This window comes from Homo sapiens, chromosome 9, assembly GCF_000001405.40.
Source record: "Homo sapiens chromosome 9, GRCh38.p14 Primary Assembly".
NCBI classification, from domain to species: domain Eukaryota; kingdom Metazoa; phylum Chordata; class Mammalia; order Primates; family Hominidae; genus Homo; species Homo sapiens.
Window position 1 is genome coordinate 68,352,933 of NC_000009.12, and position 13,906 is coordinate 68,366,838.

Below are 13,906 nucleotides of genomic sequence, written 5' to 3' on the forward strand. Positions count from 1 at the left end.
CATGCCAAGAATCCTCAGTCTTTAGAGGCTCAGAGAAGGCTGAAAGGCTACTCTAGGCTATCAGGGCTACCATTCATTGTGACCCATGCTACAGAGAAGCTTTGAGCTCAGTGCAAAGGAGTGACCAGCCCTTGAGAATCAGGAAAATTTATTTATTTCTGACCTAGTCCACTGAGGACATACAAGGAATGGGGCAGGGGAATGTCACCAGCTATGGTTACAAGCTAGTCTGATTCTCTTTCATTAAGAAAACTGGTCCCTGTGAGTTTAGATTGGGAAGCACCAGGTTAAAAAAAATTTTTAGGCCAGGAGTGGTGGCCACTGTACTCCAGCGTGGGTGACAGAGTGAGAATCTGTCTTAAAAAAAAAAAAAGTTAATTGATGTCTTCTGTTGAGGACCTCTCAGAACTTTTAATATGAAAGTGTGCATTGTGAAGAATGGGAGTAGAGTGTACAGGAGTTTTAAAAGCTACTTGGTCATGAAACTCTTGCTTTGTGCAGGATTCGAGGGGCACTAACATTCTGAGGAAAATATTTTGGGAAACATTGATCTAATCCAAACTTCTCATTTTACCAGCAAACAACTGTGGGGCCCTCTAAGTTTCCTTTCTCCATCATTGTGACAAATTCATTGGAATTAATTCAATTAAACCTGGGGTCAGCTTTGAAGAGATTTATTTAGCAGGTAAATCTGTTTTGTACATTTTGAGGGAGTTCTGAGTTTCCATAGTCAAAAACCACAGAACAATTTAACCAACCTTTATGGAATATCACCTATGGCCCAAAGACCCTTTAGCTACAGTGATGGTCTACAAAAATATAAACTGTAATTCTTGCAATACAGGAGATTAGTAATAATGGTAAATATAATGATGATGACACCATGAATAGCTAACATTTATTGAATGCCTTTCTATTAGTCAGGCACTTTACTAAGTATTTTAATCCTCCCAACAATTTATGAGGTAGGGATTATAATAATTCCCATTTTATAGTGAGGACACTGAGGTTAGGAAATTATCCTAGCCTAAATGTTAGGTATAAGCATGAATAGAAAGGTGTTATCAGCCTATAAGACATTCCTTTATGAGTGATACAAAGTCCTATATAAATTCAGAGAAAAGACAAATGGTTTTAGAAATCCTTGATCAGTGAGTGTGAAGCACGTGGTGGCCCGGTTACTGTTTGGTTGCCCATCTGTCCTCCCTCTGGGGATCAGCACCCCCTTACTTTGGAAGACTTGTTTTCCTTGTCACTGTAAGGTTCTTTCTGGCTATGTGGTAGGGCACATTGCCTCAAACTAGCCCTGTTCCAGTCTTTGAGAACCTTGAAATTGGAACCAAGGGAAGAGGATTGCCTCTTGAATGGTAATTCTCTAAAATCTAGTCTGAGGTGCTGGTGCCTAATCCCTGGGTCTGTGGAAGGAGCTGGGCTGTGAGAGGGGAGAATGATGTTGATGTCAAGAGAGAGGCAGGTGCTAGGAGCAGAGAGATGGAGGCCTGGAGGGTTTCTGGGCTTCTCTGAGGCTTAGGGTTTGGATCATTGTCTTCGTTACTGGAACAAAGGATTTACCATACCTGCTCTTCTGGGAATGAAACTGTCCTGCTTTGCAAAAAAAAGTGTCATTAGAAAGAGATCTTAAAAACCCCACACCATAGACAGGTGCACAGATCCCTAGAAGTGTTAAAGTTCTGTCTGTTGGATGCTAAGCCAAGACTCTTAAGTATGTTCTAAAGAGAAACTGGTGTGTGTAGGCTGTGCACTCCCAGGGAGATAAAAAGTTAGGAACTTTATGGGTTGGGCTTGGTGGCTCACACCTGTAATCCCAGCACTGTGGGAGGCTAAAGTGGGCAGATTGATTGAGCTGAGGAGTTCGAGACCAGCCTAGGCAACATGGTGAAACCCCATGTCTACAAAAACTACAAAAATTAGCTGGGCGTGGTGGCATGTACCTGTAGGCAGGAGGATCGCTTGAGCCCAAGAGGGAGAGGGTGCAGTGAGCCATGATTGTGCCACTGCACTCCACCTGGGTGACAGGAACTTTATGGGAAATGGGATCTTGGAGACTGAGTAGAGACTAGAGGAAAAAAAAAAACTACCTCCCCGACTGGCCACACTATTCTTTTAAAAAAATGTTAATTGACAAATTAAAATTGTATGTATTTACGGAGGTATGATGTGATGTTATGATATATGTATACATTGTGGAATAATTAAATCCAGAGAATTAATAGATTCATCACCTCAAAACCTATCTTTTTTGTGGTGAGAACATTTGAAATTTATTGTCTTAGCAATTTTGAAATACACAATACTTCATTGTTAACTACAGTCACCATGCTGTGCTGTAGATCTCAACAAAATATATTCCTCCTGTCTCAACTAAAACATTGTACTCTTTGACAACATTTCCCCATTCCTCTCACCCCCTCCAAAAACACCCATTCTTTATGTTGAAGAGAATGGCTAAAAAGTCCCAGCAGGTTTCAACAGACGGCTTCAGTGGTTGTCCCATCACACTTCAATGTTATTAATAAAAAGGGGAGGGGCAATACATAATTCGGACAGGCTGAAAGTACCATTGTAACCACTTTCTTGACTTCACAGAAAAAGTCCTCTTGTTTTCATCTGTAAAATGGGAACTGCATGAATACCATTCTTCTTTTCTTCAGCCTCCAAAGAAAAAACAGATGCAAAGCCTTTAATCAATTGCAAAACAGTATACAATGTGTGTTATTACTCACAGTTGTCTTACTGTGACCAAACACTTTATAAGCCTGCGGCAAGTCAGCCTTACTCTCAGTAAGTGGACAATATTTGGGGAAGGAGAAGCAGCAGGATATTTCAGGACAGTAGCCTTGGTGGGTCCAAAAATTCCTTGAGAGAAATGGGAGATAGAACTTTCTTCCTGCTTTGGGTTTTATCCTGTTAGTCTTTTCTCTCTTCACTCCTATTTTCTATGGAGAATTTCCTGGTTTTGGAGTTTGGGTGCGTTTTATGGAGAGGAGGCAGAAAATCTTTAGCTCCAGCAGAATGAAAGGATACATGCAAAGGAACCTAGCACAGTATCTGGTACCCAGGTCTCCTTTAACTTGGCTTTATTCATTCACTCCTGGTAGGGCATTAATAAGGGATTTAGCCCCCTCCTATTGAAAACGATTAATTCAAGGAAGAGTTCAGACAGTGTGGACAGATACAGTGTAGGAAAGCCTATTTCTAAGGCAGGAGCTGGGTAGGGAGGGTGAGAAGGGCGAGAAGAATAGGGAAATATGTGTCGTCTGTGTTGCTGCTGTTGCAACCACCACAACAAACAAACAAGTGAAAAAAAAAAAAAAAAAAAAAAAGAATTGTCCATACCGGAAAGTGTGCTGTTTTGGAGGAGGCTGGGGAAAGTGTGGATGGCTCGAGTGGGTCCTGTTGGATTGAAGTCTGACAGTGGTGATTCCCTTCAACAAATGGTCGGGGTGGGAGGGTACACACACACACACACACACACACACACACCCCACACGCAGCGCCCAGCCTCCGATTTCAGCGCTGGCAGGAGATAACCATTCTTAGCTCGCCTTTCCAGGGTTATTTTTGGCTGAGGCTGTTCGCTGATGGCAAAAGGTTTCAGCCCCCTCCCAAATCCCTCCCCGTCCTTGTTCTAAAGAGAAACTGGTGTGTGTAGGCTGCGCACTCCCAGGGAGACAGGGAGACGGGCCGGGCGCCGGAGAGGAACCCGGACTCTGCCCAAAGTCTCGCCGCCCGCCGGCTGTTTTCTGGCGGAGGGTGTGCCCCGGAGGGCGGCGATCGCGGGTGAAGGCTGGGGCCAGGCGCGGGTGGAGGCGTCACCGGGGTCGGGCTAGCAGGCCCTGGAATCAGGCTTTTGGGACACCCCGAAAGTGAGTCCAACTTGGGGAGAAACTGAGGGCAGCTCGGGCGGTCTGGCAGCGGAGAAGGTGGGTGGGAGAAAACTTTACAGGAAGGCAGAAGCAATCTCTGCCGAGAGAGTCAGCCGAGCGGCCGCGCGGAGAGGAGGGGCGGGCGGTCCCCAGGCGGGCGGGTGCAGGGCGCAGGGCGCCGACCTGCTGGAGAGGGGGCCCGGGCGCGAGGCGGAGTCCCGGCGCGCAGCCAGGCTGGTGGAGGCCCCCGGCAGGCTGCAGATTCCCTCCGGCTCCGGGAGCCGCAGCAGGACCGGCCAGGAGGCGCCATGGAGGGGAGCCCCATCCCGGTGCTGACAGTGCCCACCGCGCCCTACGAGGACCAGCGGCCGGCCGGCGGCGGGGGTCTGCGGCGACCCACCGGCCTCTTCGAGGGCCAGCGCAACTACCTGCCCAACTTTATCCAGAGCGTGCTGTCGTCCATCGACCTGCGCGACCGTCAGGGCTGCACCATGGTGGTGGGCAGCGACGGCAGGTACTTTAGCAGGACGGCCATCGAGATCGTGGTGCAGATGGCCGCGGCCAACGGGGTGAGTGTCCGGATGCCCCTCGCTTCCCGCCGCGCCGCCGCCATGCCCTCTCCTAGCCCTTGTCCCCCTGCTGCCTCCGGGCCCAGTTGGGAGGCCCCTGCCCGGCCCCGGCTTTGCTACCTCACTCCCGCGTCCTCACCCTCCAGCGCCCCACTCCCGCCGCGCTCGCAGCCTCCCCGGTGCACCCCGGACACTGGGTTCTATTAGTACCCACCGCCCCCAAAAGCCTTGAGGGGTTTCCGTCGTTCCTGGAGCCACTCCGGGCGCCCTGGACTCTTCTCCGACTCTGCGCACATCCCGCACCTGCTCATTTTTCTTTCGGACATTCTCTTACCCGGCCCTGTAGATTCCAAGGCAGCTCCCAGTTTTCCATATTGTTCCCAACGCATTCACTGCCCACAGTCCCCACACAAACTTCTTTCGCAGGCTCACAACATAGTCCCTCTGCCCCGTGCCCTTTTTGCAATAATCTGCCAGTCCCCTAAGTCTTAGCTCTGCCTATTTAACAGTAGTGGTGTCTCAGAACACACACACACACACACACACACACACACACACACACACACACACACACACGATCCCTGACATATTTGGCAAGAGTAGGCCCTGAAGGTTTTTATTATTTTGGTTCTTTAACCCAGTGGAATTACTGAATGATTTATTTAATTAGGGTAGGGATGGAGTGGATCCATTTGTTTGATGCTAAACAGCCTGAGCTCGCAGTTCCCAGGGGGCATATCTCTAAATGGTCTGAAATGAGATTTGCAGTGGTTTTCTTAATGCAATTCCCAACTTCTCTCCAAATGCCTTTTGGCATTTGACAACATTTCATGCCTCTTCCCCTTTCGGTTTTCATCCTTGTTTTCTCTCCCTTCTCCCACGACCTCGGTAGTCTTCTGCAATCCAGATTCTCAGACTTCAGGTTTTTCTCCCTCTGCCCCTTTCCTCTCTGTCCTATAACTAGAAGCACCTTTTGGCATAGACCCATATCCCAGTTTCCTCTTTCCCAGGTCCAGCAGCATCTCAAGGACATCTACAAGAGGGATACCTAATTTCAGGGGTCTCTGAATTATATGTGGGAAACATCGTCTAAAAAAGTAATTTTATCCTTATTCATGCAACCAGACCCACACTCATAGAACTTTTCTTTAAGGAAAGTGTCTTGCAGATGTATAAATGAGTGTTAACATCTTTAAAAGCGAAACTGAACAATTCCCTGGCATTTGAATTCCCTCCTTCCTTCCCAACCCTCTCCTTTTCATTTTCTCATTTATTATTAAAAACATTTTTAAAGGATCTCCATGCTTCATATTTATCTACTATAATTCCTCCTTCTCGGTGTTGCAGGGATGGGGAAAGAGGATTTTTTTAAAAACATAATAAAACGCAATTGGGAGAAACAGGGCCAGTGGTGTTGGGGTGGGTAGTGGAATTGTGATTTTTGACTCCAGTAGACAATGATGCTGGATATATGGGGTTTGATTTATCTCTGGCTCCTCACTTGGGATTGATGAAGTTTGGCTAGAATCAGGGAGTTGAAGAGAGGTTGACAAATGGTCTTTCACTCTTCTCTGACAGGCTGTTCCTGTGGAGTGATGGAGAATAACGAGCCTTGGGAGAGCTATGGGAGCTCTCATACTTCTTCCCGAGCCAATTTTTTAGGGAGTGAGAGAAACATGGCCTGTCCAATACTTGTTGTGGGTCAGGATATTTTTGAAGCTACGGTTGTTGATTTGCATGGGAAAATTATTATGTCTTATTATTTCTTGTCCCACTTTACCATAAGGACTCCTCAGCTTCTTACTTCAATGGGTCTTCTATGACAAACACACTTTATTAACTCTAAGAGTGGAATTTATTTTAACAGATAATTAGCATAGGTCAATATATGCTTAAAATAGGGTCAAATTAAACCTACTAGCTGTTATAAAGGACAGATGACAAATTAAAATCCACATAGAAGCATCGACTCTTAAATAATCTGAAAGTACTACTTCTAAGAGGGGTGGGCATGGGTGAAGGGAATGGTGGACATGTTTCAGAATTTCAAACAGCCAACTTTAACCAATCTTTTCCTCATTTTGTTCACCTTCTTGGGGGCTTATGCTAAAGTGAAGTGAATAGCCATAAGGCTGGCTTCAGGAGAAAGGTGGTCTAAAAGAACTGGATAATTATAAGCAAAATTGGTCTTGAATGATTGAAAATTGATGAGAATGTGCTTGTCTCCTGATTTGGCATCCTGAATTAGACTCAGGAATACTGAACTTGGATCCCAAAGGCTTTGGTCTTTTTTGATATCCTATTGGATACTCATAAGCAGGCTAGAAAAATAGAAAACTAGAATTTATTCTCTTTGAACTGACAAATCTAACCAGTGGGCTGCATTCTCTATATCTGAAAAATCTTGGTTTTGATTGAAAAAGTTAATTTTACAAAGCAATTTTCTTTTTTTAAATTAAATTTCATTTTTTTTGAGACTGGGTCTCACTTTGTTGCCCAGGCTGGAGTGCAATGGCACAGTCTTGGCTCACTGTAGCCTTGACCTCCCCAGATTCAGGTGATCTTCCCACCTCAGCCTCCTGAGTAGCTGGGGCTATAGGTGCATGCCACTATGCACAGCTGATTTTTGTGTTTTTACTACTCATAGGGTTTCTCTGTGTTGCCCAGTCTAGTCTCAAACTCCTGATCTCAAGAGATCTGCCTGCCTTGGCCTCCTAAAGTGTCATGAACCACCATGCCCAGCCTACAAAGCAATGTTCTAGGAAAAACTACAGTTACTCTTTGATTATGTAATTGCTGGAGAAGAAAAACATGGCATTTCTAAAATGATGAACTATATTACTTATATTTTAATATCTCATAAAGTTTGAAATAGACATTTCAAACATAAACATGTATAAAAAATTTTATAAATTAAAAATATAATATCAAAAACATAAAATTATTTTATTATAAAATTATTATAGAATCAAAAACATTATAAATTTAAACAACTTTTTTAAAAATTTATTTTGGGATTTCCCATGGAGTGATGGAGAATAATGAGCCTTGGGAGAGCTATGGCAGCTCTCATACTCCTTCCTGGGCCAACTTTTTTAGGAAATGGGAGAAATATACCCTGTTCAATGTTTATTGTGGGTCAGGATATTTTTGAAGCTATAGTTGTTGATTTGCTTCAAACTTTAAAAAATTTATTATAAAATTATGGGATGTAAAAAAATTTATTATAAAACTTTGAAATTTTCAAACTTTCAGAAAAGCAGAGAGATGAGATTAATGGCACTCATAGGCAAACATAGAACATAGATTGTAAACATTTTCCTATATTTGTGTCATGATTATTTTTTGCTTGTGTTTGAAAGTATATTAAAGAAAATGATATTTTACCCCTAAATCTTTAGTACAGATTTCTAAAAAATAAGAACATTTTCCTGTATAGTTACGAAATCATCTTTTCAAACAAAATAAAAAATGGTTTTTTTATATCATTTATTACCCAGTCCACATTCAGATTTCCTCAATTATTATGAAATGTCCTTTTATTTTTTGAGACAAAGTCTTGCTCTTTCACACAGCCTGAAGTGCAGTGAAACAATCATAGCTCATTGCAGCCTCAAATTCCTGGGCTCAAGTGATCTTCCTGCCTCAGCTTCCTGAGTAGCTAGGACTATAGGTGCACACCACCATGCCCAGCTAATTTATTGTTTTTGTAGAGATGGAGGTCTTACTACGTTGCCCAGGCTGGTCTCAAACACCTGGCCTCAAGTGATCCTTCCAGCTTGGTCTCCCTGAAATATCTTTTGTGGCTGGTTTGTTCAAATTAGTTTCTTCTAATCAAGGGACACACATTGCATTTGATTATTTAGCTCAAGACTTTTTTTAACCTGGAAAATACCCTCACTCTTTGTTTATGTATTTATTTAATGAAATTGATTGTTGAAAAACTAGTCAGTTGTCCTGCAGAATATTTCCCCTTCTGGAATTTTCTGGTTGCTTTTTATGGTGTCATTTAACTTTTCACTCTGTTTTTTCCTGGTTAACTGGAAGTTAGTTCTAAAGGCTTTTAGGCCTGCTATAACAAAATACCAAAAACTGGATGACTTATAAAGAACAGAAATTTATTTCTCACAGTTCTAGAGACTAGCAAGTTTAAGATCAAGGAGCATGCGGTTTTGATATCTGGTTAGGACCAACTTTCTGGTTCATAGATTGGCCTTCTTGCTGGGCCCTCACATAGTGGGAGAGACTAGCTAGCTCTCTGGGGCCTCTTTTATAAGGGCACTAATTCCAATCATGAGGGCTCTGTCCTTATGATCTAATGACCGCCTAAAGGCCCCACCTTTTAATACCAGCACCTTTGGGGTTAGGATGTCAACATATTAATTTTGGGAAGACATACACGTTCAGCCCATTGCAAGGTTTAGTTAGATTCAGGTTCAACTTCTTTTTTTAAAGACTATTTCATAGGCAATAATGTGTATTCACATCCCATCATTAGTGATGGTGAGATGATCGCAAGGTTAGGGCGATCACTGCCTATCTCCTCTGTTATATTCCCCCTTGGGTCAAGCCAGTAGTCTGTGACGTGAACTTTGTACCATGTGTATATTCAGTTATATTCTGTATCAATATTTACTTGATTGTTTTAGCATTTATTAATGATCCTTGCTTGAGTTGATTATTTCATTAGGGGTTTCAAAATGGTGAATTTCTAATTCTCTAATTCTATATACATGTTTTAGCTGGCATTTTTCTATAAGCAGACCATTTTCTTCACAACTGGGTTATTTGGCTACCCTGAAACATAGTTCCTTCCGGGAAGGCAGAACATATGTTTATTTCTGTCTTTTAAAAATTACTGGTGTTTGGAGTGAAGATTTGGTGAGTTAACTACCTCCACAGGTGACAAATGAATTTTGTTTTGTCTCACTTTTGCTTTTTTGAATATCACTGTGGATGCTTGGATTTTTATATTTAATTTGAATGGATTAGGGAATAAATGAGAAGATAGGTTTTATCTGTTTCTGTAGTTTTTATGTGGCTGTGTGAACTTACATTTAAAAATTCCCAGAAATATTTTAATTCCCCTTTAAAGATATAAACTATGTCATACTATAAAGCAAAAGAAAAACCAATCATGTGAAGAGTAAATAGTATCTTTAAACGAATTGTGGTTAAGCTTAGTTTGTAACTAATTAGTTTTTTATTTTCTTTCTACTTTTATCTGCTTCAGAGCCTCTTCAGTGGTTTAGATCTTCTATGTGTCAAATTATTCTAATCTCTTAAAAAGTTTAAGAGCTAAAATACAACACAATGACTACAGGAATGCCTTTGTCCTTTTCTGGGTGGGTACACCTAAGGCAATTTCTTTTTCTCTTCTTTGTTCTCTGCTTCTTTCTTATTCTTAAATCATCTTCAATATTGGACAGATGTCAGCACTGTGCCTGCCTCAAGATGTTTCTGACTTTTTCTTTTTCTTTTTTTTTTTTTTTTTTTTTGAGATGGAGTCTTGCTCTGTCACCCAGGCTAGAGTGCAGTGGCACAATCTTGGCTCACTAGAACTTCCGCCTCCTGGGTTCCAGTGATTCTCCCAACTCAGCCTCCTGAGTAGCTGGGGTTACAGGCATGCACCACCACGCCTAGCTAATTTTTTGTATTTTTACTAGAGACGGGGTTTCACCATGTCGGCCAGGCTGGTCTTGAACTCCTGACCTCAAGGGATCTGCCTGCCTTGGCCTCCCAAAGTGCTGGGATTACACGTGTGAGCCACTGCGCCCGGCCGTTTCTGACTTTTTCTAAAGTCTTCTTTCTCTGGAGATGACATTATATAATAGCACTGTTCAATAGAAGTTTCTTTGATGATGGAACTGTTCTGTAATCTGCATTGTCCCAGCCACTAGCCATATGTGACTACTGAACACTTGAAATGTGGCTAGAGCAACTGAAGAACTGAATTTTGCATTTTACTTAATTTTAATTAATTAAAATAGAAATGCAAATAACCATAAGTGGTTAGTAGCTACCATACTGGACAGCAAAGACCTATAATTCAGCATTTAAAATCGATTTTGTTTTGTTTTCAAAAATGGAGTCAGACTGTTACAACCCAAAAGAACTGTAGGTTAAATTAAGGTAAATCACCAAATACTACATACACATTTGGGAAATCCAAACCAGATTTTTTCATGTGATAACCACACCCTCTTTTGACTTTAGCCTTGGAGGTAATGGAGTATGGCAGAAAAAACCCTGTATCAGCAGCTGGAAGACTCACCTTCTTTTCCTAGCTCTGCCATATATTGACCAAAAGAGTCAAAGTCCATTCAGATGGTTGAGGGGCCTTGGAATTTTGTTTTTGGTTTTCACATACAAGTTGGAGGGCAGATGCGTTAGCCTCTTGAAATACCCAGAAACCACTTGTTTCCTCATCTAAAAATCAGGTATGACAGGATCATTTAATTATCCTGGAAATCAGATGAAGCACTGCATATGAAAGCACTTTGTAACATCGATAGCACTGGGAAATGTAAAGACCTTTTACTGAAATATAAAGGTGTATGGTCAACTGAATATATCTCAGATAATTATGATTTGACTGTATGTATTGAATATAACCTGTAGTGGGCCCCTTGGTAAACAACTTACAGTTTTGTTGCAAGTTTTAGCCAAGAGAAAATGTATTTGTTGACTAGTCATGCCCTTTATTGGCCACATGATGAGCAGCAATGATATTAACACACAGTGCACCTTGCAGAATTCAAGAATGTCTCAGTGTCTTGTGAACTAGGAAGCTGAAATGCAGTGGTATGCAGAAGGCTGGCTCAGTAGGAGCCTTGGGAGTGTCCTCCAGATAGATGTTTGTGCAGGTTGTATTTGATTCCAGTTGGCCATGAAAAGCTGGTTGCTCTAAAGAATGAGAATATACTTGGTTTTGCATTTACTAGAACTATCTGGGGAACAAATTCTTGGGGTGGAAGAAAGAAGGGAGGGAGAGAAAGCTGTGCTTCAATACCTAGGGCTTCTTTCCTGGAATGGATCTGAGAATCTGGGATTGGGTGGCTAATATCTCATCTCTAGAAGGGAGAAAGAACTGGGTGGTGATGGCTTTGTATTTTCTACTGGAGTTCACTACAGAATAGGTGAATGGAATGGGCTGCTATGATCCAGACATTAGGGAGGACAGGTTTGTGATACATTAGAAGACTTGAATGAGCCCTTCTATGATTCTCTCTTCCCTCTTTCTGCTTCCCTTTCTGAATCCCCATCCCCAGGTTGTGGAATTAGCAAATCTATTATGTGAGCAATAGCAAACTTACAGGAGCCCTTGGCTCCATCTATCTCCCTGTTTGTGTCAGTTCATTCTGGATGCTTTTAGTCTGTGGTCTTCATTCACTCTTTTTATGGGGAAGTAAAAGGAGTGGGACAGATTATGAGAACAGCTGGGTCCTCCCAGTTGCTGGGGTGGTTATTTTAAGCTTTGTTTAATGTGTCCAGAGACCCAGATGGCATTTTTAACTAAGCTGCTTTATTAAATCTTGTGATAAAGCATAGTGATGTTTATTGAAAAGGCAGACACACATCAGCAACATTATGCGTGAAACTTGCCCTAAGAATTTTCTATAAAACATCTGTTCTCTTTGAGCCTTTTGTGAACTCTGGAAGTTTGCTAGTTTCTATACAGACTTGAGGACAAGAAGTTGGAACCCACTTTTGGAGATGTCCAAGCATAGGTATTGGAATCATTAATCCTAACCCTCTCAGTTTTAAGGCCCCGGATACCCTTCTGTTAGACAACAGTAACATGAGCAAGCACTGTAATAACATTTAAACAAGATTATTTGGAAATAATGGACAAGAAAAATTAGTATAAATTGTTTGGGGATTTTAAAATTAAAGATAAAAAGCTAGGGCTTCAATGACCTGTGCCAGCCTATAGCCTTAAGAGTCAATTTGCAAACACTCAAGATTTGGCCAATATGCCTCTACTACTTCTACTTAACACAGTCAAAGGGAAATTTTTAGATTCTTTCATCTGATTTGACTCTCTTAGTTATGAATAAGAGGATATCTAGAATATATATGTGACTTGTTAAAATGAAAATCCACCTTCTCTGAGTCTTCAAATATCTTACATATCTTACATTTTTAGTAACATCAACTTTTGAAGTCATGTCCGTAGTTGTATGAAAAGAAAAATTTCAGGAACATTCAACCTCAAAAGTTCTTTTTCTTAGTCTGAAGTCGTAGAAGCATTTGACTTTTACTTTCTCTTTTTAAGTTTGTACTAGTAGGTATTTTGTATAAATATAATATTTAATTATTGCCTTTGTATTCTTTTTCTCTAGTAAACATCCTGGTTTTTAGCTATCAATATGTAGTTTTACATTTAGGGATTTCTAATGGAAAGAGAAAGGAATCTGAAATCAGAGGACAAGAGTTTATTCTACTTGACCAAACACATACGAAATACTGGAAGGAGAGTTTTACAACAAATATTTAATATCTATGACATGTAAAAAGGTTTTCCAAATCAAGAAAATTCAAACAATTCAATACAAATATCATCAATAATAACACATGAACAGGTGGCCAACCTTATTAATAACCAGAGAAATATAAATTAAAACAATCCATCAACTTGTAAAAAAGATGAAATTACCCAGAGTTGGTGTAGGTGATGGAAAATTGTCATGTTTGTATACTGTTCATAGAAGTTAAATTGACATAACTTTTTGGTCAGGCAATTTGGAAGTATATATCTAAATTAATAGAGTAGTTTTCTAATAACCTGGGAATCTCTTAATCTAAGAATCTTTACTGTAGATTTTTCTAGAACAAATGTACAAACATCTATGTACAAGGGTACTCACTGCAGCATTTTGCTAAGGAAAAACTCAGAAAAAATCTATATGTTCAACAGAGAACAGGTACATAATTTATGACACAACTGCACAATATACACCACTAAAATAAAGGATATAAATTTATATGTAGTATGAAAAAGATGTGAATGATAGCTTGTTGGTGAAAAACAGCAATGACTGGAATATTGTGTGTAACGTAATCCTGCTTTTCTGTATATAATGTAGGCATAGAAAATAGGATTGAAAGGACATACTCTAGTCAACAGTGGATATAGCTTGGGTGGAGGGGGTGTATAATGGGGAAGGAGAGTCCCTTTTCCTATCTATTCCATATACATCTCTGGATTTAAAAGATCATACATGCATATGCATTACCTTCAAAATTAAAATGATAAAGACAAAAGGAGAAGCTTTGGATTTGAATCATGATACTACTGTTTGCAACTTATATGACCATGGGGAAGTCGCCTAGCCTCCTAGGGTTTATTTCCTCATTTATAAAAATAGGGAAAGTAATAATACTTGTCTACATATCTTCTAGGGTTGTTGGGAGGATTGAATGTGATAATGGGTTACAGCATTATGA

At 41.0% G+C, this 13,906-nt stretch overlaps 1 protein-coding gene and 1 long non-coding RNA gene across 8 annotated transcripts in view; one reads left to right on the forward strand and one right to left on the reverse strand.

Moving 5' to 3' along the window:
• Positions 1-2,231: 2,231 nt before the first annotated feature.
• On the reverse strand, positions 2,232-4,934 carry PGM5-AS1 (PGM5 antisense RNA 1). 3 transcript variants are annotated; one of them, NR_121192.1, is made up of 3 exons: positions 4,791-4,934; positions 3,358-3,414; positions 2,232-2,673 (listed from the first exon to the last, which is right to left on the reverse strand). It is a non-coding gene; the product is annotated as a PGM5 antisense RNA 1 (long non-coding RNA). The 3 variants fall into 3 exon arrangements; NR_015423.2 differs by lacking the exon at positions 3,358-3,414; NR_121191.1 differs by lacking the exon at positions 3,358-3,414 and having other exon boundaries at positions 4,671-4,934.
• PGM5 (phosphoglucomutase 5) overlaps positions 3,679-13,906 on the forward strand; it is a 174,451-nt gene continuing 164,223 nt past the window's right edge. For 4 of the 5 annotated variants that reach the window (NM_021965.4, XM_011518783.4, XM_024447573.2 and 1 more), the window contains exon 1: positions 3,679-4,456. In NM_021965.4, coding sequence (NP_068800.2) covers positions 4,196-4,456 — 261 coding nt within the window. In that variant the 5' untranslated portion in view covers positions 3,679-4,195. The remainder of the gene's footprint in view (positions 4,457-13,906) is intronic. The other variant, XM_047423473.1, reaches the window with a different exon arrangement.